Source organism: Homo sapiens, chromosome 5 (genome assembly GCF_000001405.40).
Source record: "Homo sapiens chromosome 5, GRCh38.p14 Primary Assembly".
Lineage (NCBI taxonomy): Eukaryota > Metazoa > Chordata > Mammalia > Primates > Hominidae > Homo > Homo sapiens.
In genome coordinates, this window is record NC_000005.10 from 137,624,062 (window position 1) to 137,649,726 (window position 25,665).

Sequence of the window (25,665 nt, forward strand, 5' to 3'; positions counted from 1 at the left end):
AACTATATAAATATCCCATAGATTATTAGCTATTTCCCTCATGTCAGACATTAAGTAATTCTCAGTTTTTTGCTATTACAAGTAAGGCCCCAATAAATTTGTCCATAAATCTTTGTATTTTGGAGCATTTCCTTAGACTTTAAGATAATAGACTCAGTAAGTGGGTTTGAACATAAAATTGCAGGTTTGCTTGTCTCCTTCCTACCTACTTCTGGAGAGGGCAGACAATGAAGAAAGGGACATGAAATATTCAGCATATATATGAAATTCTAACCACCCACACTTAACTCTTCCCCTCTCATTAAGGCACACATGGAGTCAAGGGAAGATTCCTCACTTGTCTCACTCATCCCAGAACAGAATTACTCCAGGACCAAACTTCTTCTAAAATGTTTTATACTTAGCCAAGAAAAGTATTACAAGGTGAAAAAAACTCTAAAGGAAGAAAAAAGTTAAAGTTCATTACAACAGAAGTCTTATGTTGAAAGAATGTGCTGCAAACTCCTTCAAATTTGCACAGCACAATCTTCCTCTGCAGTCAAACAAGATGGAATGACTGACCTTTATAATGCAAAATGGGAATCGGAAGAATATTCCTGGAGTCGTGGTATGGATTAAAAGAGATAATGACTATAAAATACTTTGGATAATGCCTGGTATGTTCTGTGCATGCTGGATCAATAATGTTATCTCTATTCCAGGTTCTGGAAAACCAGATACAAGGAACTGAACTACACCATGGATATATATTTGCTCATCTCCCCATGGACCCAACCTTAGTAGTACCAACTCTGATGCCACCCCTGCCCCTGCTACTCACCAAACCCCTCACACACACTCCCCAAGAAGCTTCCACACCCGCCTGGTGCCTTACTCTAAGGCTTACCCTGAGCTGGGGTAGCACAAAGGGCATGGACTTAGAACTCTGGGTTTGAACTCTGACTTTGCCATTTATTAGCTGTGTGGCCTTCAGCAAGTTACTTAAACTCTCCAAACCTGTTATATCATCCATAAAATAGACGGATAGAGTCCCATTCAGCCCAAGGGTTGTTGAAAAGATGAGAACAAATGCACACTCTGTTCCTAACACACTGCCCCATGGCACGGGGCCAGCCACGCAGTAAAGGACAGCTATTTGTGTGATTGTGATCCACCCTCAAAGTTTAATTGAGCCTATCTCCTCCAGGAAGGGTTCCCTGGCTTTGCCAGTTCTCACCAGTCTTTCATGTGCTAAAACCTGTCTAGCGTATGTCATTTAGAACTTGTATATGCATCATCTTGTCTTCCCAGTTGTCCAATTCGACCCTGGACAACAACAATCGCATCTTATGCCATCTAGGAGCCTGGCACAAAGTAAACCAGGAATGGCAATGAAATTCTAAAATCACTTGTGACAACTCAGTTCAGTTGGAAGTGGTTCGATGGAATGAATGTTATAAATTCTGAGGCTATCTTCAGGTTCACAGGGTTCGGGCAGGGGCAGGGGTTAATAAGTGCTAATTATCAATATCTGTCATGAGTGCAGAATGAAGGAGTGGTGGCCATGTAACAATTACCTGTCATCCCTGGAGGAGGCACTCAGGCCCAAGTTAAGCAAGCTCACATCCCCTCATCCCACTGGCCCACCCAACCCTCATTCCCCCAGTGTGTTGGAGGCCTCTCGGATGGGCATGGAGATGGCACACACTGACCTGCATAGCTCCGCCCCGTGCTCATGTTCGTTGGAAGCAGCGTCCATTTGTCAGTGACAGGATTGTAGTACTCCACCGAAGCCAAGTTGCAGGATCCATCATCCCCTCCAACCACATACAGGAGCCCATTTACTGCACAGACCCCTGTGAGTCAAACAAAAGCCATGGGAGACATCACAGCAGGTGCACTAAGAGATCAGAATTGATCAAGAGACAAATCTGGATAGCCTGGGAGGCTCTTTTCCTCCCTTCATGGCAATACAACAGAGATTTGGCTCCACAGGTTTGAGTTTGCTAAGTGAAAGAAAATATTGACAACAGCCACTGGGCTCCAAGGATCCTTCTTCCTAACAGGATCATTTCTCTGACCAGGGAGTTTTGATTACTTATAACGTGTATGCCCCCCGCCACACACATACCTATACTATAAGTATGTAGAGCATATGGGCACAGACCCCTCTTTAATGGAAAGGTGTATACAGACCTCCTGTGCCAGGCCTGAGCTAGGGAATAAGACAATTCAGGGGACTTCATGCATGCTACTCCTTCTCTGCTGCTAAGTTTTTCCCTGATAAGCCCTATGTTATATTCACACTGTGTGATGCTGATGGTTATGTCTCTAATCCCTTTACAAGACTGGGTCTACATTCACACACAACTCCCAGGGATGCAGAACAGCTCCTACTCTGATCTCAAAGGGAGATGGATTTTGGGCAAGGTCTCATACAGCAGGGTCTAAGGCATAGGAAAATGTAATGAATTATTGCTCATTAAGACTTTCAAAGGCCACAGTCCAATATGTTGTGTATTTTTTCAAAATTAGATTAAGGGATTGGTGATACTCTAAAAAGTAGTAATTATCAGTGTTGCTGAAGGTACTCTCAAATACTGGTGAGACGAAAAAATGGACACCCTCCTGGATGGCGTCTAAAATACATGTGCTTCCTCTGATTAAAAAATTCTACTTCTGGCCAGGCACAGTGGCTCACACCTGTAATCCCAGCACTTTGGGAGGCCAAGGCAGATGGATCACTTGAGCCCAGGAGTTCAAGACCAACCTGGGCAACATGGTGAAACCCTGTCTCTACAAAAAATACAGAAATTAGCCAGGCGTGATGGCGCATAACTGTGGTCCCACCTACTCAGGAGGCTGAGGTGGGAGGATCTCTTGAGCCCAGGAGGCAGAGTTGCAGAGCCAAGATTATGCCACTACAATCTAGCCTGAGAGAGCGAGATCCTGTCTCAAAAAAAAAAAAATCCATTTCTGGCCTTTTATTCTAAAGAAATAATTTTAAATGTGTGTACTAATTTAGCTATAAAGACCATTTATAATCACTCAAGTATTACTTATAGGATAGAAAAGATGGAAATAACCTGTGTCCAATAGTAGATTGGTTGTTTAAATTATGATATAGTCATTTAAAATAATATCATATAAATAAGTTTAGTGTTGTAATAAGACGTTCATGAGAGATTGTAAAGTGAGTTTTTTTAAAAAACAGGTTATAAAATAGTGTTATAGTGTAATTCCATTTTTGTTATTAAAAAATAGAAATATCTATGTATGAATTTTATACAAACACACATTTACATCTAAACTGAATTCCCAGGTTCTAGATAGACTAGCTGCCTTAAGGGTCCTGTAATTCTTTGCTCATGTGGCTTAAAGCCAAATGAGAACTTGGCAGCAGGCTTAGGCAATGAGTAAATTAGTAAATATCACCACCCCCCCCCCCGGTTTACACTTCCAAGTCAGCCACGAATGGGCTTAGCAAACAGGTAATATGAGAATAATGAAAATGGATCTGCCTGAAAGTCACCTGTGTGTCCTTCCAGCCTGGGAAGTTGGGCTAAGCCAACACTTTCCTAAAGCAAAGAGGCATAAAGGATATACTGACACAGTACACGACCCACAAGGCAAAGCTCAAAAAGGAAATAGCTTAAAAGGGGCCTCATGCTCCAAGAAATATAAACCTAAATACACTACAGTAAATCTTTCCTACAGGAAGGCATAGGAGACAAGAAGGAAAGCAAAGACAGGAATACAAAGAAAGCAATAAGGAAAGGAGAACTCATCAAGGGTCCAACTGTCCCTGCAAGGAAGGAGACTGCTTTCAAGTAGGAAGTGAGAAGTTCTCCTAGCCAGGCACTGGCAAAGAAAAGATAGAACCAAGTGCCATTGTCTGGCCCTTGTCCACAGAGCCCTGTCCTTAGCTACCTACTAAAGCTGTTGGGCAGCGGGCACTGATGGCAACCAGAGGACTTTCCCAGGTCTGTGCTCATCTGTGTGCGGTAAAAGTCATCACCCTTCACTGCGGGGAAAGGGGATCCTCTGCATCTAGGTTGCAGGATCTGCAGCTAGCTTTTGGGGTCTCAATTTCTCCCCTCCTCTAATCAAGAGCCCACCTGGCAAATGCACACTCCCTGTTCAGGATATACGCTCAGCTCCAGACCCTGGGAAATCTCCCTGCTGTTTAGAGCCAGTGTCTTCAGGGAGAAAAGGCACACAACCCCCAAAGGGGAGATGGAGAGAGCAGTCATTACCTGCGTTGCGCCGGCACATGTTCATGTCTGCCACTTGCTTCCAGGTATTTGTTCCAGGATCGTAAACCTCAACGCTCTTCCTCACCAAAGGCCCATCATGCCCACCTGTGGCGTACAGCTGTCCGCTAAGCACTCCAACCCCTGAAAGGCAGAGCACAGCATCCCAGCCTCATGCTGACTACAGTAACCAGAAATCAGGAGGCCTGGCATCCAGTCCTGGACAGCCCTGACCAGTGAGGGGACTTGGGGAGTGCCATTTTGTCTCCCTGGACCTCAGTGTCCTCATCTGTAAAACAAATATAATGACACCCTACCTGCCTCCTCATAAGACTAGCAACCTCAAAACTTTGAAATATAATGCAAATGTGACCCAAATTCTGTTTTTAAAAAACATTAAAAAATATATATATATATATACACACACACAGACAGACAGACATACATACATACATACATACATACATACATACATACATACGGGAGAGGATGTTCATAAGCAAAGAAAAAAAGACAAAAAATACTGAAATAAATCCATTAAAATATTAAGAATAATTATTTCTGAGTGGTAAATTACATTCATTTTCCTTTTTTGCCTATCTATATTGCCTAGTTTTCCTACAATGCTGTATTACTTACTCATCCTTATATTAGTTGAGTAAAAAGAGTTAAAAATTGAAACTAGCCACACAGCAAAAGTGCTGAAATTATCATCAGGGAGGCCTCCCTGCTGGTCGTGTAAGCAGAAGCTGACCTTTCTGCCCACTTCTCTCCTCCTGTACTGCAGAGGGCATTATCAGATCACTCACCGTGTTGATCAGCCTGAGCTGAGTGCTAGAATTGCTTCGTTTACAAGTTTTAGTATAATCTTTTAAAATCCTTTTATACAACAAGAAGATGAAAGCCATAAAGAAGGAAGACAGCACAGTATCTAGAAAGTGCAACTGACCTGGTAGCTAGGACACCTGTGTTCTGGACCTGTCTCTCTGACTTGCTCACTGGGTGACCCTTCCCCTTTCTGGGCCTCAGTTTCCCTATTTGTAAAGGGAAAGAGTTGTACTAGATCAGTAGTTCACATGGACCACAGACTTCTCCACTCCATGGGCAGGCTGCATCTCAATCGACTGGGAAGCTTTTTGAAAGACAGATTCCACACTGGTCAGGAGTCAGAAAAAGTTCCTCAGGTGACTGGGATGTGCAGAAAGTTCCTCAGGTGACTGGGATGTGCAGTCAGGTTTCAGACCCAAGAACCAGACTTGTAGACTATAACTCCATATGGATGAGGACTGTTTTTACCTTGTCCTCGTCTGCTTCCCTGTGCTCCACAGCAGTAGGTTCTCAAGAGATATTGCTTGAATAACAAAAATATAAATTAATAAAATCCCTCCCAGCAATTATGCAGGTATGCTAGTAGCTCCTAGCAGTTGCTCTAAACTAACAGCAGATGGTGCTGTTGTACCAACAATGGCTCTCTCTAACTGACAGGTTTAATAAAATTTGTTGAGTTCCAAAGCTGCCTCACCTTCCTTTCCTCCATGCTCAGCAGGAACACGCATTCCCTGAGAGATGGCCTCTTTTTTCCCCTAACCATCTGGTGGCATTGCCCACACCCTGCTGAGGAAGCGAGCTGCGTTCCAGGCACTCAGGCAACTCTGCCTCTGCCCTAGTGCAGCCTCATCCATAAACATTCATGCAGCCGTTTCCTGGACCTAGAGCCACAGGGGCTCCTGGCACCTCAAAGGGCCTCAGGCAGCCAAAGGCCAGGGCCTTTGGTCTCTGGGTCTTCAGCCAAAAACACCCACCTCGACATGCATGTGGGTTCCCAACTCCAGAGGTGAGACTTGCCCAAATCTTACGAAAGTGAAGCACTGAAGAAAGGCTGACCTGGGAGCCTGAGGCCAGGGCTCTGACAGTAACCTCAGGAAAAAGGCTTGGTTTTGATTTCCTAAATCAAGGTCAGTGTGCCTCCCAGGGACACTGGACTCCCAGGCAATAGAGGTGTCACCCTCCAGGTCCTCCAGTGTAGGTAAGAGACAGGACTAGGGCCAGGTGATGTCCACCCAGCAATAACCATTTCAGCAGCGTGGCAGAGACAAAGCAGCTGTAGTCTCCAAAGGCGGCTCCCTCCACAGAGACAAGCCTGAGCTTCCTAAGGCAGGTCTGCCCTCCAACTTCGTGCCTGGCTGCCTCCCCAGGCTTTCGGCCCTAGGAGCAGTCACACATCTCAGGGTGTGCTGCCCCAGGCATGCTGAGCTCTCACCCTTACGTCACAACAGAGGATTTCTAGGGAGTACGAAGACTCTACCAAAACTTTAGAAACCAAAATGTCTGAAAGAGGTTTATGACGGGAAAAGAATCATGGGATTTGTGGATCGACTTGGTTCTTAGGGAACACCTACTACAACCCTACAACCCACTCATTTCACATATAAGGAATTAGAGGCCAGAATAAGGGAAGGGATTTGCCCAAGGAAGGTCATATGGCAAATGACAGCAGACCCAGCACCAAGTCCCGGGCCTCCTGACTTCCAGGCAATGGCCCCACGTTCAGGAAGGGCCAACCTGTCAGAATCAGCAGAGACAAAAATTCTCTAAAAATAGCACTCCAAACACAAACACTTCTTAAATGGAATCATGCAGATTTTATTTTTGAAACCAGTGAGCACACAAAGGCTCTTTAAAAATATTAAAATAGCATACTTTTTAAAGAATGATGAGGAAGTGGTCATATGTTTGGTACTATAAAACGAGATCACAACTCAATCTCCAAAAATACAAAAAAAAAAAAAAAAAAAAAGAGAGAGAGAGAGAGAAAGGAATAACATTGCGGGAATGTGGCTTCCCTTCTCAGAAGTCACACAGTCTTCCCGCCAGGATCAGATTGGTAATCAGTCACCACTGACCACAGGAACCAGCAGTAAAGAGCCAGTGGACTGATGCCTCTGTCTGCCCTCAGACCCTTCCCTTTGGGCCTCTAAGACAATGGATGGGAAGACAAAGCAGGGGAGAAGGGGCTGTTGCTCTGCTTCCTGAAAAATCCCAAAGGATCATAGAGCTTCTGGTTTTCTGACAAAAAGTAGAAGTGGAAAACCTTTTGAAAAGTCATTTTCTTCACATGTTGGGGAATAGGTTGAAGTGAGGAAAAGTGGGAGTGGGGGACATAAGTTATCTCCAGACATGAACACTAATAGCTTGGCTTTCAATTCCAGACAGGCAAGCTCAGCTTTGTCAACTGAAGACTTGTCCTACTACTTCAGAGGAATAAGACTGATAATTTAGGGATTTAAAAAGCTAACTCTGGAGTCAGCATTACTAATTATATGACCTTGGGCAAATTACTCAACCACTGGCAGACCTCCTTTCTAAATCTGATAAGTGCAATTCATATTGTATCCACCTCGTAGGGCTGCAGTGAGGATTAAATGGATTGAGGCATAAAAAGTACTTGTTAGGACAGTGCCTGGCACATAGTAAGCCTTAACTTTCAAAAGATATAAACACCTTCATAGAAACATAAGGTATGATGAGGAGGAGCGTATTATCTCATCCATTCTCTAGTGATCCCCCAGGAAAGGTTAACTTATAAAGTACTGTGTCTAGCTGCAAAGGTGCTAGTAGGATTATATACAGCAAAATGAAAGGAGGAGGAGGAGGTAAAATAAAATGTTAAGTTGTTGAACCAATACCCACTCATGACTGATTAAAGAAATCACAGATTACACAAACTGGAAAAACATCCCATATTCATGGATTGGAAGAATCAATATCATTAAAATGACCATATTCCCTGAAGGAATCTACAGATTCAACACAATTCCTATCAAACTATCAACATCATTCCTCATAGAATTAGAAAAAACAATCCTAAAGTTTATACAGAACCAAAAAAGAGCCCGAATAGCCAAAGCCAATCTTAACCAAAAAGAACAAAGTCAGAAGTATCACATTACCTGACTTCAAATTATATTACAAGGCTATAGTAACTAAAACAGCATGGTGCTGGTACCAAAAATAGACACAGAGAACAATGGAACAGAATAGAGAACCCAGAAACAAAGCCACATACCTATAACAAGCTGATCTTCAAAAAAGTCGACAAAAATAAAACAATGGGGAAAAGACTCTCTATTCAATAAATGGTGTTGTATGTGGCTAGCCACATACAGAAAAATGAAACTAGACCTCTATCTCTTACCATATACAAAAATTAACTGAAGATGGATTAAAGACTTAAATATAAGACCTGAAACTATAAAAGTCCTAGAAGAAAACCTAGAAAAAACTCTTCTGGGCATTGGCCTAGGCAAACAATTTATGACTAAGATGCCAAACGGAAAGTGCAACAAAAACAAAAATAGACAAATGGGACTTAATTAAACAAACAAAAAAAGCTTCTCCACAACATAAGAAATAATCAACAAACAGTCAACCTACAGAATGGGAGAAAATATTTGCAAATTATGCCCCCCAACAAAGGATTAATGTTCAGAATATACAAGGAACTCCAACAACTCAACAAGGAAAAAACAACCCCATTAAAAAGCAGGCAAAGGATATACATACAGACATTTCTCAAAATAAGGCATGCCAGTGTGGCCAATAATCATATGAAAAAATGCTTAACATCGTAATCATCAGAAAAATGAAGATTAAAACCACAGTGAGATATCATCTTACAGATGGCTATTACTAAAAAGTCAAAAAAGGCCGGGTGCAGTGGCTCATGCCTGCAATCCCAGCACTTTGAGAGGCCGAGGCAGGTGGATCATGAGGTCAGGAGATTGAGACCATCCTGGCTAACAGGGTGAAACCCCAACTCTACTACAAATACAAAAAATTTGCCGGGCATGGTGGTGGGTGCCTGTAGTCCCAGCTACTCGGGAGGCTGAGGCAGGAGAATGGCGGAACCCGGGAGGCGGAGCTTGCAGTGAGCCGAGATAGCGCCACTGCACTCTAGCCTGGGCAACAGAGTGAGACTTCATCTCAAAAAAAAAAAAAAAAAAAAAAAAGTTTAAAAAAAAAAAGACTTTAGCATGGTTGCAGAGAAAAGGGTATGCTTATACACTGTTGTGGAAATATAAATTAATACAACCTCTATGGAAAAACAGTATGGGGATTTCTCAAAGAACTCAAAATATAACTACCATTTGACCCAGCAATCCCACTACTGGGTATCTATGCAAAGGAAAAGAAATCATTATATTAAAAAGACATGTACAGTTATTATGTTTAAAGCAGCACTACTGACTACCACAAAGTCATATAATCAATCTAAGTATCCATCAATGGCTGATTAAAGAAAATATAGTATGTATACACCATGGAATCTTATGCAACCAAAAAAAGAGTGAAATCATGTCCTTTGCAGCAACATGGATGGAGCTGGAGGCCATAATCCTATGTGAGATAACCCAGAAACAAAAAATCAAATACTGCATGTTCTCACTTATATGTACAGGCTAAATAATGGGTATACATGGACATAAAGATGAGAACAATAGACACTGGGGATTCCAAAAGGGATAAGTCTGGGAGGAGGGTGAAAGTTGAAAAATTACCCATTGGGTTCAATGGTCACTATTTGCGTGATGGGTACACTAGAAGCCCAAACTCGACCATTATGCAATATATCCATGTAACAAACCTGCACATGTACCCTCTAAATCTAAAATAAAACAAAAAAATTTAAGGACCCACTTGTGAGCAAATCAGACACAGCCAGCACCCCGAGGTTCTCCCATACCTGCGCCACTGCGGCGGGTGCTCATGTCCGCCACGTATATCCATTCATTGGTCGCTGGGTTGTACTGCTCCACAGTGCTCAGACACTGGCGGGAAGCTCCATCATAACCCCCAACAGCATATAGCTTCCCTGCAATAGACAAAGTGGCTGAGTGTGGTGCCAGGGATACTGGCATGAAACCAGAGCTCAGCTGAAACCCTATCTGCAACCAACTGGGGCACCCTTACCTCAGAATTCTGTTCCCTCTTTCTCCAGGGGACCACCAACTTACTCCTCAACCAAGCAAAGCATCCTTCACATTTCTTCACATATTCTACTTGCTCTTAAGCCATGAGCTCCTTAGAAGCAAACACTTAACGTCTTTCTAAATAAGTACCCGCAAATACCCAGCACAAAGCTATGGCCTGGCACCACTGGGGCTCAACATAATCTTGCTGATGAATTAGGTTAAATTTTCTCTAGAACAAGACACCAGCACCAGATAGATGGAAAGCTAGAAGGCCCCCAGCTATAGGCAGGCAGACCATCTTTCTGGCTAAAGGCTTGACATAGCAGATGAAGTAAATATGGAAAATTATTATTCAATGAGAACCCAAAACCTGTCTTAGCCATTGTCTCTACCCCTTCCACAACCTTGGCAGGTAGAGTGTGTGAATGGAGTGTTCTTTGTACATTGTGGGCCAGGGTGGCTGGAATTTTTCTGCAGACTACCCTGTGATCTCTGAGCCATGCACAAGAGCCCTGAGGTGCCGTCATTTACTTTTAAATTAAAATACCATTAAGCTGCTACCCAAGAGCATCATTTCTGCCTGGGGCTGGGGGCTGAGGGCTGAGAGTGAGGTTGGACACAGGAGGAAAAATTTGGCATTTGAGCTATCCCAAAGCAGAAATTCAAACATTTTGGGTTTAAAATTTAGTCTTAAAATGCAATGGGATGGTCTCTTCTGTGGGAACAGGGGGAGGAGTCACACTAGCTGTAGACTAAATAAATATCACCAAATGCAAATCTATTTAACAGGATTACTTACTCAGTAGATTTTTTGGTCACATGTGCTTTCTTGATGGACAGACACCAAGAATACTACTAGTATTTGAAAATCTGCAATTATTTTAAGTTAGAAAGATTCTCAGGCTCAAACCTATACTCTGCTACCAGAACTACTGCTGTATTATCAAATATAAAAATGTTTTTCTTCTATCATCATCGAGCCTGGCTTTGTTTTCTGCCCCAGGGTCCTCTCAATTGACCCATCTAAAAGAAAGAAACACATCGTCCTCAGTTCTGCACTCACCAAAGTCAAAATTTTTTAAAAACCTGACTAAGCAGCTCTTCTAGGGTCCAGGCTACTTGCATGGTATGTGCTGGTTCAGATGCGAAATATCCATAGCACACTCTCTGCTCTCTTAGGAGCTTCTGCCTACACTCCAATCCACAGAGTCTTTTCCTAAATAGGTATTCTTCGAGGCAGCCAGTAGCAAATTATTGTGATTTCCTCCATTTTTTTGTTCAGTGTCATTCAAACTGTATAGCCATGGTAATGAGATGATGAGAGGGAGGAGAGGAAGCCAGACAGTGTGGAGAGCTGTCTCTTCAAGGCCACAGTGAAGAAGACAGAGTCCACTTAAGTCCCTCCCTCAACATTCTCACCACAGCTGTAAATTGAACTCTGCTGCCCCAGGGTGCCCACAGCTGAAAGAGCTTCAGATTCAGGAAGGGCAGAAGAAACAAATTCCCAGCCTGTCTTCCACGTCAACAGGGCATGCTACAAGACAGCACTTCTTCCACATACAGAACATGCTCACAAAAGCCTTTGTCAAGGGGAGTATTTTAAATTACCACCATTATGGCACCTCCTCTAACCCCCATCAACCATTCCATCTGCATCAGCTGAAAAAATATGCACTCAAGGTTCCTCCTTGAGTCTATTAACAGGGATTTGCTATTTTTAACCCCTACTCTATTGTTTGATATTCCTGGCTAAGGAACAAGAGAAGAAATGAGAAGGTGGCTAGACAAAGCACTTACACTTGGCAGACAAATCAATTTCTCTTCCACCAAGAGAATGAGATTGCAAGATACAATTTACCTTGGTAGGAGGACAAAATCCTTGCCCTCACATAGATGACTTATTTAGTATGTTAGAATAGTACACCTTTAAATGAAAACTTAAATTACACAATACCAGTGCAGACTGAGAAATACAGTGTGAGAAAAGAATCTTTCTATTAATGTCTAACTCGCTGGATGTTACACTCACCCCAGGGCACATTTGTGTTTGCATGTGTATTTCTGAGTGTGTACATGAGAGATGGAATGTCTGCATACACGTCTGAATGAACAGATATTCCATCTAAATTCCCACATTACTACAAGTTGATGAATCAGTGTTGTCCTGCAAATGACAACATTTTAGTTCAAGTAATATTCTATGCTTTGGTACATTGAATTCACACATATTTACAGAACTCCTACCTACTGGCATTTGTCAGCATTTTGAAGGAGCATAGCACAGTGGAAAGAACACCGGCTTAGGAGTCAGAAGACCTGGGTTCAAGGACAGGCTGTGTTATTTACTGTCATTGGAATGTGGGACATCTGGAGGATGGAGAGAATCTGAGGCCTGCCTATCTCCTTCACAAGGGTTTTGCAAACAAAACAAGAGACTAGAAATGAGAGGTTTTTTTACAAACAAAAGTGTACCATCTGACCAGGCCCTAGACCTCACCACTCCCTCCTACCTTACCCTACACAGCTTTCCTGACTAGAACTGGACTCAATCACCAGCCTGCCCTGCAGAGAGTCATCAGACCTAAGAAGAGGTGCCTACCTCACTCACAGTTCTGTTAATGTTCAACATATGAATATGAGGACAAAATTAATTAAGCACATTTAACTCTCACTCTACTACATTATCCTCCTGGGTTATATGCTGAATATGGATTCCCTACTCCCTTCCCTTCCCCAACTTCTAGCAGAGCTATTGACACAGGGCCAAACCACAGGCCGGCATTTCCCCTCTAGGCTCCTTCTACTCCCCCAGCCCAGCTCCAACATTTAGCAGCCTTGGGCCAGGAGCTCCACCACCTCTCTGAGTCTCAACTTTCCTCATCCGCTAAATCAGGATAATAGTACCTAACCCAGAGGAGTGATCTCAGGAAAAAAAACACGGTAGAGGAAGCACCAAGCATGATGCTGGACCCAGGACAAGGCCCGTGGGCCAGGTAGGCCTGGCCACTGGCCACTGCCGCCTCCTTACCCTCCACAACGCCCACACCCACACTGCTCCGCCGCGTGTTCATCGGGGCCACAAAGAACCACTCGTTGGTCTTGTAGCTGTAGGCTTCCACCGATGCTAGGCCTGGGAGACAAGAGACTCATGAGACTTCCGTGGCACCAGGCCTCACCCTGCTGTGTGAGAAGCAGTGAGGATGGGGGAGGAGTCCAAATGCATGGGCTGGAAACCTAAATGTATGGCTCAGTACCACCTCTGCATCACCATGCGGCCTGTGGCAACTCCCTGAAACACATCTGCAGTGTCTGCCTGCAGGGACTATTAAGACTTGACTCAGAGAGTGGGCTGTGAAAGGACAAGGGGTGTGTCTGAAATGCATGGCAAATGTAGATCATAAAAACCGCAGAGTGGGATACTTTGATTCCAAGTAGTCACCTGAGGTAGCCTCACTGAACACCTATTCCAATCCCCTTTCCCCCAGCTTCCTCTATCTTAGCAGTGGAAAGCTAAACACTTGCTTCCCAAGACTCCCTTGCAGCTAGGCGTGACCAAGTCAATGAGACCTAAGCAGAAGTCTACGGGGATTTCAGAAACAGCCTTTGCTTTTCTAATATAGATACCATTCCCCTTTTTGATTCTTGCTACCTGGAACACAAATGTGTTGGCTGGAGGTATAACAGCCATCTCACGATCATGAGAAAAAGGCCAAGAGAATCTTAAAGAATGTGGCCTCAATGTCCATGAGTTACTGGACCAACTCAGCAACTGCTAACCTCTAGGCTTCTTGTTTCATGAGTAAAGCAAAATCCCTCGTGTTTTAAGGCAGAGTATAATCAGGTTCTCTACTTATAGCCAAAAGTAATTCCCAAAAGAAACAATGCACCACTACCCTTTCCTTCTCTTTGTTCCACTCACTAAAGGCAGCCTCCAGAGGGGCTAAAGACCCTGGAATTATATGAGTGAGGCAAAGAGAAGGCTGAGAAAGGTCCCCAGATTGTGAAGACACAAATAAAAATTCAGCGAAGTAAAAAATACTGCTTTTTACCTCCCTGGGGGCCAAAGAATATCATATTAGTTTAATAGAGCTACTGTCTGCAGAGACATCTACCTGGCAGTATAAGCAGAGATGAGATCACCTCTCTGAGTTTATGTCAACTAACAGTTTTGGGTTGAAATTTTGAAGCTAGATAGAGTCCAGAGGCAAGGAGGCTCACCTATGGTGAAAAAGCCTGGCAAAGCTTCAGTAGGGTAGTAGAAAGGGCAACAGAAAAAATGGGCAGCCTGGCCCACTGCATGACCTGAGCCAGGTCTCTTCCAAGTGCTGGACTCAGCTCCCTCATCTGTCTAGCAAAGGGTTCAAACTGGAGACCTGAGGCACCCCCTAGCTAAGCATGCTCTCCTTCTAAGTCTCATCTTCTGAGTAAATAGGTTCCCAGACACTGGAAAGTAGGAAAGGGACTCTTCTGAGTCCTAGAAAGCCTAGTACATGGGTAGTTACATATTCTGTCTGGAAGAAGGCCTGGCTCTTCACCCAAAAGCTGGATGAGGAAGAAGAGTGGATATGTCCCTGGGGCAGTAGCTACAAATGGACAGAAAGTTGGTCCAGAACTGGCTGAATAAAACAGGGTTGCATGGAGGATGTGTCCCAGGCTAGGAGGGGTTGGGAACACACCCTAAACCTACCAGTACTGCCATCAAAGCCTCCCACTGCGTAGAGCAAGTCATTGAGCACCGCTGCGCCCAGTGTGCTCCGGCGCTCCTGCATGCTGGCAATGGACGTCCACTGGTCCTTCACGCCGTCATACACATCCACTGTCCGCACCCGCAGTGAGCCATTAAACCCTCCCACGGCATACACGTGGCCAGCCATGAACACCACACCTGAGGCACAGGAAACCAAGACATCAAGGTCAGGTCAGGCGCATGACTGCTCATGTTGATGGATGGCAATGGAGGAGCAAGACAGACACAGGAAAAGTCGCCACCGAAGATACTTTAGGTATTTGGCAGTCATTATGGGATTCACTGGATTTCTTTCCTACTTGCTTTTCTAATTTTGTCTGATTCAAGTAAATATTTGAATCAGCTTTAACTCCCCAAGCTCATAAGAACTGACCCCAAAAGAGCCAAAAACTGTGCAAGTGGCCGGGCATGGTAGCTCACGCCTGTAATTCCAGTACCTTGGGAAGCCAAGGCAGGTGGATCACCTGAGGTCAGGAGTTCAAGACCAGCTTGGCCAAAATGGTGAAACCCGTCTCTACTAAAAATGCAAAAATTAGCTGGGCATGGTGGTGCACGCCTGTAATCCCAGCTACTTGGAAGGCTGAGGTGAGAGAATCACTTGAACCCAGGAGGCAGACGTTGCAGTGAGCCGAGATCATGACACTGCACTCCAACCTGGGTGACAGAGAAAGACTCTGTCTTAAAACAACGACAACAACCAAAAAAAAAAAAAAAGTGTGCAGGAGGGAAACGAATGGGAGCCTGAAATGCACAGATGCTTGAGGAAACAAGGAGTAGCTCACGACTTCTGGCACGGAGTGGGGACCAGCAGGGGAAAAACAGCTTGCAGAACTGGGAGGCTGCTCACCTGCTCTGCATCTTCTGGAAGGAAGCTCAGCAATCTGATCCCACCGGTCCTCCTCGAAATCATAGCACTCCACACTGCGGATTGCCTTGGGTGCCTGGCCGCCAACCACAATCATGACCTCCGGAGAGACAAGTGGACGTTAGCGGGGTCACCCCAAAATCTGGATTTATGGTATCCCTGGTACTTCCACATGGCTTATCGCCCAGGGTGTGTGGATGATCTGAGATGCCAGTTTACAGAGCTACATACATGGGGATGCTGCTCCTGGTCACCAACAGGTATGAGTATTCAAGAAAAGTCTAACAAGCATCTTCCCACAGAAACACAGTCATAAGTTCTGTTTCCCAAATGCCCCACTCGGGGCTATCTTGTGGGTATGTGAAGCCGCACAGGGCATCATCTGTAATCTCAGTGCCCTCAGATTGGGAATGGGGGGTGCTAAATCTTATATCAAAACAAACTTGAATATACTTTGAAAAAGAGTTCAGAATTTGGACGTATGTTTTAAAGTATTACTCAAAAGCATTTCTGAATGCCTAGAATGTAGGGTGCACTTATGCACTGCAGTATAGAAAAAAATTGAAAAACTCCTGTGAGATGTTTATTACAAAAGTTATTAAACTGATGATGTTCTGGAAACTAGTGCTAGCAGTCCTATTTCCACAAGTAAGGTAGTAGCTACCACTGCTAGGTACCATGTGAAATGTGTTGTCATTTACTTGTCACCACAACTGTGAGGTAGATATCATCATCCACATTGACAGATAGCAAAGTAAAGCTCAGAGAACACATGTAAGTGGCCCAAGGTCACACAGCTAAGAGTGTAGGCAGAGACTGAAACCCAAGTCTACCTGACAGAGGGTGAGGCCAGCCACCCCCCCCAACTCCTGCTCTAGAGACAGGATCCAAGCAAACACAGCTTGCTGCATCTATGTTTGTCAAAACACAGGTCGCTTTCCATTAGTAGGTCATGAAATCAATTTAATGGATTATGACCAGCACATATATTTTTAAAAGCACAGAAAATATGATAAGAATATTATTTCATGAAATATTGGTTTTGGCTATACACACTTACATGTGTCTTCTGGATAGCAATTTAAATGCATTTTGTATTGCAAGGGCATGGTCAAACACAATGAAAACTACTGCTCTGGTTAGGTTAATAGAACTGCAGTACTTAATTATGGTATCACTGCTGTGTCTTTGGTCACATGTTATTAATAAATAAAAAATTAAAGTACCAGTTACCTATAGTTTACATATTTTAATAAACATGTACAAATTCATAGCTGTCCCCACAATGATGTCACTCTCACTCAACGGCATTCCAATATGCTTTCTTGAGTGGAGAGAAAGGGTGGAAGTCACAACCAGCAAATTCATTTGATCATTACCTGTAGCTTGTCTTATTTACCCAGTGGTTCTCAAACTTGAGCATACATCAGAATCACCTAGAGGACTTGTGAAAACACAAGCTGCTGGGCCCTATCCCCAGAGTGTGATTCAGTGGATCTGGAGTGGAGCCCAGAGGCTGCCTTTCTAACAAGTTCCCAGGTGCTGCTGCTGCTGCCACTCTAGGGTTCATACTTTGAGAACCACCTTTTTAATCCATGCTCTGTATGGATTTCCTGATGATATGCCATGAACAACTTTTGCCATTATGAATTATCATAGTGCTTTTTACTTCCCCATGATGTATTTTTGGGGAGAGAAGTGCCCATCAAAATCTGTGTGAACTCGCAAAGGCACATCCCTCAAGTGAACACTTCCCACCATACGGGAGGCAAAACCAGAGCTCACCACCATTACTACAGATCAACCATTTATTCCCCAATATTCCAGAACAGGCTCACCCACTGCCATGTGGGTGGTCACTGGTCATCAGACTTAGTCCATAGCTGTCTGTCACCAAAAGTGGGTAACCAGTGTTCAAAAATTCAGAAATCAGTTCTGACTTCTAAAGCATTCCAAAGGAACCCAGGACACAAAACCCAGCCTCGAGCTGCTGCTGCTGCTGCTTCCAGACAGAAACTTGACTTTCCTGGGTGCCTCAGCTCAGAGGGTCCACTGCTCTGTGTCAAGAGTAGCCTTTTTCAGAGTAAACATGAATTCTACATTACTTCCCATTTGTAATTCTTTGCTTAGACAGGCATCCATGAACAGTTCAAGGGGGATGTTAATGAACACAGCCCCTTGGCAAACACCAGATAATGCCTAACCTACTCTTCAAGGGCAGAATGACATGTTCGTAAATATGCCCAGAACTTGCATTGTCTTTCCGGTTTTGAGTTGGTAAAGCTAAACTGAAGGAAAATACTGCAAGGATTTTCTTTGAAATCTGATTTCTGAAGCTGAGTGAGAATAAAAGCAGTTTTAAGTTTTCTTTCTGCAAGGACTTCAGGCACCCCACACCCTCCCACATGCTGTTCCCTGACTCGAAACCTTCCCATCTCTGAGCACTCTGCCTTAACACCTGCTTATCTTTCAGGTCTCAGTTTAAATGTTATTTCCTACAAATGGACTTCCCTGGCCTCCAGGTCAGAACTACATATCCGTCCTCTGAGATTTCACCTGCCCTGTGTGTTCTGCATTGTGCTGGACCATCAGTGTCTTGTCTTTTGCACCTCTAGACAGTGAGCCCTGCCCAGGCAGAAAACGTATCTGCCTCAGTCACCAAGATAACTCCATATACTTATGTTGCCAGGTAAAAGTGAGGGCTCAAGTGTTTATTTGGAATAAAGAATACATGAATAAAAAGTAAATAGCACATGCAAGGAGTTAAACAAACAATACAGAGTTTTTAAAAATGAAAAAAGAAACTAAACTAGAACGTCATTTTCTTTAGTTAAAATATGTTGGAACACCAGGTTAAAATTCTGGAGACAGTGAGGAAAAAGCAAGCAAAATAAAAAGAGAAAGTGAGAGCTTTTCCCATCTTTTGACTCAACCACCAAAAGAAAGTTTGCTTATACTTGGCATAAGCTATCCAGCTTCTTTTGTAAATTAAAAAAAAAAAAAGGCAAAGTTTTCAGGAACCCTCACCATGCCCCAGAAACTATCTCCCACCAGGGAAGTAGAGGGTACATGCATATTGGAGAAAATCTACCACTCATCTCTGAGAATTTTCACAGAAACAGTATTACAGAAATGCAAATTTTTTAATGTTAAAGTAAAGCCTGAGTAGAAATACAAAAATGATACACGACAGCTAGGTGCAGTGGCTCATGCCTGTAATCCCAGTACTTTAGGTGGCAGAGGCGGGTGGATCTCTTGAGTCCAGGAGCTCAAGACCAGCCTGGGCAACATGGTGAAACCCCGTCTCTACAAAAAATACAAAAAACTAGCTGGGTGTGGTGGTGAATGCCTGTAGTCCCAGCTACTTGGAAGGCTGAGGTGGCAGAATCACCTGAGCCCAGGAATTTGAGGCTGCAGTGAGTTGTGATTGCAGCACCACTGCACTCCAGTCTGGGCAACAGAGTGAGACCCTGTCTCAAAAAAAAAAAAAAAAATAGAATACAAGATAAGGTTTTCAAAACAAACTTGGCTTTGAGCTCATAAAACCACTGGTAAGAGATAACTTTAAACAAACAAAACTTGTACAACTATCTGGGAAAATGAATTATGAGGTTTTGTGGGATAGGACCATCAGTTTCAGAGGTAGCTCAAGGCAGCAGGAAGAGCAGGTATACATCTGCTTCTCTCATAGGCATAGGAAACTCAATTTTTTTGTTTTATTTTTAGTTGGCACATAATAGGTACACATATTTATGGGGTACAGTGTGATGTTTGGATACATGCATACATTGGGTGATGATCAAATCAGGGTAATCAGCATACCCACCATCTCAAACACTTATTATTTCTTTGTGGTGAGAACATTCAAAATCCTCTCTTCTAGCTATTTTGAAATATACAATACATTATTGTTAACTATAGTCACCCTACTGTGTAATAGAACTCCAGAAGGTATTCCTCCTCTCTAACTGTAACACAGTATCCATTGATCACCCCCATCTCCCCTCCCTCCTCCCTTCCCCAGCCTCTGATAACCACTATTCAGCTCTCTACTTCTACGAGTTTGTCTGTTTTAGATTTCATATATAAGTGAAATCATGTGGTGTTTGTCTTTCTATGCCTGGGTTATTTCATTTAACATAATGTTCTCCAGGTTCATCCACGTTGTCACAAATGACAGGATTTCACCTTTTTATTTATTTAATTTTTTAGACAGAGTCTCGCTCTGTCACCAAGGCTGAAGTGCAATGGCACAATCTTGGTTCACTGCAACCTCCACCCCCCGGGTTCAAGCAATTCTCCTGCCTCAGCCTCCCATGTAGCTGAGATTACAGGTGCCCACCACCACACCCGGCTAATTTTTTGTATTTTTAATAAAGATGGGGTTTCACCATGTTGGTCAGTCTGGTCTTGAACTCCTGACCTAAGGTGATCCACTCGCCTCGGCCTCCCAAAGTGCTGGGATTACAAGCATGAGCCACTGTGCCCGGCCTTTTTATAGTTGAATAGTATATATACCTCATTTTAAAATCCATTCATCTGTTGATGGGCACTTAGGTTGATGCTGTTTTTTGGCTATTGTGAATACTGCTGAAATAAACATGAGAGTACAGATATCTCTTCAACATGCTGATTTAATTTCCTTTGGATGCATACCCAGTATGGGATTGCAGGGTCATATGGTAGTTCTACTTTTAATTTTTCCTGGACACATACAACCAACCAATATAGAATCATGAAGAAACAGAAAACCCAAACAGACCAATAACAAGCAACAAGATTGAATCACTAATAAAAAGTCTGCTATCAAAGAAAAGCCCAGAACCTGATAGTTTCACTGCTGAATTCTAACAAACATTTAAAGCAGAACTAATACCAGTTATTCTCAAACTATTCTAAAATATTGAAAGGGAGGGAATACTTCCAGATTTATTCTTTGAAGCCAGGACTACTCTAATACCAAACTAGACAAGGGCATGACAAAAAAGAAAACTATAGACCAATATCCATGATGAACACAGATACAAAAATCCATAACAAAATACTAGCAAATGAAATTCAACAGCACATTGAAAAGATCATTTACCGTGATCAAATAGATTCATCCTAGGGATGCAAGGATGGTTCAATATAACACAAATCAATAAAAACGATACGTCACATTAACAGAATCAAAGACAAAAACCACATAATCATTTCAATAGATGCAGAAAAAGCATTTGATAAAACTCAACATCCCTTCATAATAAAAACTCTCAACAAATTAGAAATAGAAGGAATGTAACTCAACATAATAGAGGCCATATATGACAAACCCGCAGCTAACATCATACTAGAAAGGGGAAAGTTGAAAGCTTTTCCTCTAAGAATTGGAACAAGACAAGGATGCCCACTTTCTCCACTTCTATCCAACATAGTACTGGAAGTCCTAGCCAGAGCAATCAGGCAAGAGAAAGAAATGAAGTACATTCAAATTGAAAGGAGAAAGTCAAACTGCTTGCAGAGAATATGATCTTATATATTAAAAAGCCTAAAGACGCCACCAAAAAACTATTAGAATGAATAAATGAATTGGCAAAGTGGCAGGATACAAAATCAACATACAAAACTTAGTGGTGTTCCTATACACTAATAGTGAACTATCTGAAAAAGAAATAAAGAAAAAAACTCATTAACAATAGCTACAAAAAAAAATAAAATAACTAGGAATAAATTTAACCACAGAGGTAAAAGATCTCTACAATGAAAACTATAAAACATTGACGAAAGAAATTGAAGAGGACACAAATAAATGGAAAGATATTCCATGATCATGGAAAGAATTAATAATGTTAAAATGCTCATACTACCTAAAGCAATCTAAAGATTCAATGTAATCCTTATCAAACTACCAATGACATTCTTCACAAAAATAAGAAAAAAAAAAATCTAAAACTCATATGGGAATAGCCAAACAATCTAGAGCAAAAGGAACAAAGCTGGGGGCATCATGCTACCTGACTTCAAAATATACAGCAAAGCTAGAGTAACTAAAACAGCATGGTACTGGCATAAAAACAGACACATAGACCAATGGAATCTAAAATTAGAGAACCTAGAAATAAATCCACACATTTACAGCCAACTGATTTTCGACAAACATGCCAAAAGCACACATTTGACAAGGTGTTAATACCCAGAATATATAAGGAACTCAAACAACTAAATAACAGAAAAACAGATAATCTGATTCAAAAATGGGCAAAAAGATCTAAACAGGTATTTCTCTAAAAAAGATATATGAATGACCAACAAGTATATGAAAAAAAATGCTCAACATCACTATTTATCTGGGAAATGCAAATGAAAATCACAACGAGATATCACCTCACCCCAATTAGAAGGTCTACTGCAGAAAAGACAAAAGATAACTGCTGGCAAGGATGTGGAGAAAGAGGAACTCTTATACCCTGCTGGTGGGAAAGTAAATTAGTACAGCCCAGTATGGTCAAAAGAAATCCAATTTTTATGGTAGGTGTTGCAAGAAGCACTCATACATGGAGCACTACACCCACTACTGTGTTGATCATGCAGAGTAAAAAGAATAAATTTCCTATCATGAGTGCTAATGGATAGTTGTTTCCATGGATACCTGATGTTAGCAAGCAGTTAGGCAAATACGAGTATTTCCCACAGTCTACATGTATCACATCTCTGAAATCACAAACTTCTAGCTACTTAAGAAGACCACAAGATGTTAGAGGAAGAGACTTGAACCATTCTCTCCTATATGCCCTCATTTTATATTCCAGAAACACCCAGGCCCAGGGAGTTCAACAAGCATGTTTCTTTCTTTCCCCAACACTCCTAAACCCCAATATACTTAAGATTAATATGCCTTTATTAGAAATTACTCAATCAAATCAGCTTATTTAATGATCACTATTTTTAACATTTATCTTTCAAGGTAACCCTGAGTAAGAACTATCAGTCACGTAGGAATCACAAACTAAAGAACTGGCTCTAGGTGAACAATTATGCTAGACTGAACATAATTTAATCACTCTCGTGAACTGCAGCATACTTAGGAGTTTGGCAGGGTGCCTCAAAGTTCTGATCCCAAGTCTCAACTGTCACTGTGTTGAAGGCTGCAGAAGTTCTGGTGAATGGAGGTTCTCTGGTTGACAGAATATGAGTGAGCTGAACTCCACTGTAGCAGAGATGGTTATTAGATACCTCCCAAGGAAAACACTGTCATTTTGAAAAGTCAAATAGCCATTTATTTTAGGAAGATTAGTGAGCCCAAGCAAAAGACTACCTGATTCCTTAGGAAGGAAATTTTACTCCCAGCATAACATTTTTAAAAATAAATATATAATGCTCTCTTGTTTACATAGATGATTCTGATTCTACCAGCGTGACTGTGGGATTGAAGGCATGTTGGTCCCTCCTCACCGAAATCACAACCACCCTGTGTCTGAGAGCCATTAGGTGCCAGGGACTAGCCAGGGAAAGGGACAATCCATGAAGAGAATAGAGATTTCCAGCCTACGTGTAGATCAAGACCCTAGCCCTGGCCTCAGGACTACATAGGTCATTCAAATTTCTACTCAGGTGAGAGGAACAATCTGGGCTCTACACACTTTTTTCATCGGGCAAGAGTAGAATGCATGTCCAAACTCTCTTCTGTGACCGGTGAGCTGGGCAGAAGGCAGGCCCAGCCAGTCGGTCCCTCGGGCCAGGGCAGGAAGCGAGAGTCTCTCTTACCCTGGTGCGTGGGGCCGCAGGGCTAACACCAACAATTCATCCGATGGAGCATGTCGAGGTCGAGCCAGAAGACTTGTCCAAGCAGGTTCCTGAGCAACAGTTGCTCTAGGCAAGTACTGATAGCAAGGTGCAGAGAAAATGGGGGTCTGAGAACCAGGTAATATGAGGGCAAGGCCCGGGGGGAGAGAAGAGGAGTGGAAAAAATGGGCTTTGGAATCAGACACATCTGGGCCCAAATATAGTATCAGCCCAGTCACTATATAGCTGTGTGGCTATGAGCAAGACATTGAACCTTGCTAAGCCTCATTTTCATAACTTGTAATATCAGGATAATAGGATGCTTCCCATATGGGTGTCAGGAGGCTTAAATGATATGAAGCACTTAGCACAATGCTTGATAAATAGTAAACACTAAATGTTATCTGATTAACACTAGTGTCATTATTAGCTTCTAAGGCAGGTGCTAAAAAACAGATTCCCAATGAAAGGTAGAAAAGGATACTATGAACCTGTGAGGGAGGGTAAGTACCACTAATTCTAGGGGTGATTATGGGGCTTTTTCAGGACCCCAGGGTGCTTGTCAGGGTGTGGACCAAGGTGGAAGGGGGCAGTGCCCATCCAGGGGCCTGGGCCAAATGAGAGGTCATCCCATCCACCCTGTCAACAGCTTCTTCAAATACCATCTACTGAAAGCAGGACAGCCCAACTCAGGAGCAAGCCACCCACTTCCAGCCCAAATGGCGTTTCAGTAGCATTTTTAAAGAGCTGAATAGAGATGCCAACTGAACTGGAATGACAGTGAAAAGTGCCAGGTTCAGTACATTTCCAAAAGGTTCATTTGCATCTTCCTGAAACCTCATTTCCTTGCTGCCATCTGTGGAACAGGGTAACGTAGGAGACTTCTGAGTGGCTGGGAGACAGCCTCGGGTTGTCCATGGCAACCCAGCCTCAGGAAAAGTGCTGGGCGGTGAATGTGTGGGAGCCAAGATGATGCTGTTAGCTGTTCCGGCTGGGATGTGTCAGTATGCTCTGTGCATATATGGCTCAGGAAAAACACCTTTATTAGCCTCTGCAGCTATCTCAAGGCAGAGTCCTGTTCCTCTCAGGGAAAGGACTTGGCTGGCAAACAGAGTTACTGCTGAGAATTACTGAATATAGTGCAGGTCTCTCTCCACCATGTTGTTTTTCAAAGTTTGCTCTGCCAGAAAGCCTATCTGGACTGAATTTATGAAAGCACAAACCAGCCTGCCCTTGGAATTCCTATGCCTGCTTCTCCAACTAGTCCAATTATCTCCTGATTTTTCTTCTTTCTCTACTTATTTGGTTGTTCATATATGTCTATCTTACTTTCTCAGAGAGACTTCTTAAAATTAAAAGTCCCCAAAGGGCAGGAATCAGGTTTCTTTCAACACAGCATTCGGCTATAATGCTTTTGTGACATTTGGAAGCAATATAATAAAACAGTTCAGAGCACAGGGCCTCGGGCCAGTCATCCTAGGCTTAAACCTCAACTCAGCCATTTACTAATTGTGCTTTAAAGATGGGTCACAAATTCTGTGATACTACTACACTCAGACGTGGAACTTAATACCTCTCCCCTTAAGTGTGGGCTAGACTTAGTGACTTGTATCTAGCAAATAAAAGACAGAAGTGATGGGACATGGATTTTGACATTAGGTTATAAAAACACTACAGCTTCTGTGTTAGATGTGTGCTCTCATTTTCTTGCTCTAGAATCACCCTCTCTGGAAGAAAGCCAGCATGTCATGAGGACACTCAAGCAGCTTATGGAGAGGCCCACATGGCAAGAAACAGGCCTGCCAGCAACCACATGAGTGAGCTTAGAATCAGATCCTCCCCAAACAAGCCTGAAATAACTGCACCCCGACCAACAGCTTGACTGTATGAGAGACCCTGGGTCAAAAGGACCCAGCTAAGCCACTCCAGGATTCCTGCCCACAGAAACTGTGAGATGATAGATGTTTATTGTGTTAAGCCATCGTAGGGTAATTTGTAATGCAGAAATAGATAACTAATGCATAATAAGTGGGTGACATAACCCAAGGTCCAACTTCCTCATCTGCAAAATGGGGATAATTACAG

General features: G+C 42.8%; 1 protein-coding gene and 1 non-coding gene across 4 annotated transcripts in view, besides 3 other annotated features; both read right to left on the reverse strand.

The window, feature by feature from the left end:
* Positions 1-25,665, reverse strand: part of KLHL3 (kelch like family member 3) — a 118,590-nt gene that overhangs the window by 6,562 nt on the left and 86,363 nt on the right. For all 3 annotated transcript variants that reach the window (NM_017415.3, NM_001257194.1, NM_001257195.2), the window contains 6 exons: positions 15,799-15,916; positions 14,892-15,089; positions 13,233-13,334; positions 9,976-10,104; positions 4,236-4,376; positions 1,692-1,835 (listed from right to left, as the gene is read on the reverse strand). In NM_017415.3, the coding sequence (NP_059111.2) occupies positions 1,692-1,835; positions 4,236-4,376; positions 9,976-10,104; positions 13,233-13,334; positions 14,892-15,089; positions 15,799-15,916 (832 nt within the window). The remainder of the gene's footprint in view (positions 1-1,691; positions 1,836-4,235; positions 4,377-9,975; positions 10,105-13,232; positions 13,335-14,891; positions 15,090-15,798; positions 15,917-25,665) is intronic.
* Positions 5,591-5,760: a silencer, noted in NCBI's record as "silent region_16383". NCBI's record gives its function as "represses an Ori minimal core promoter by ATAC-STARR-seq in GM12878 lymphoblastoid cells {active_cell/tissue: GM12878}" and the evidence as "EXISTENCE:reporter gene assay evidence [ECO:0000049][PMID:35858748]".
* Positions 6,147-6,897: an enhancer, noted in NCBI's record as "H3K27ac-H3K4me1 hESC enhancer chr5:136965897-136966647 (GRCh37/hg19 assembly coordinates)". NCBI's record gives its function as "activates a minimal SCP1, AML or CMV promoter by ChIP-STARR-seq in primed H9 embryonic stem cells {active_cell/tissue: H9 hESC(primed)}" and the evidence as "EXISTENCE:reporter gene assay evidence [ECO:0000049][PMID:30033119]".
* Positions 11,539-11,833: a silencer, noted in NCBI's record as "tiled region #15161; K562 Repressive non-DNase unmatched - State 22:ReprW". NCBI's record gives its function as "represses a minimal TATA promoter and a strong SV40 promoter by Sharpr-MPRA in K562 cells {active_cell/tissue: K562}" and the evidence as "EXISTENCE:reporter gene assay evidence [ECO:0000049][PMID:27701403]".
* Positions 23,511-23,588, reverse strand: MIR874 (microRNA 874). The gene has a single exon (NR_030588.1). It is a non-coding gene; the product is annotated as a microRNA 874 (primary transcript).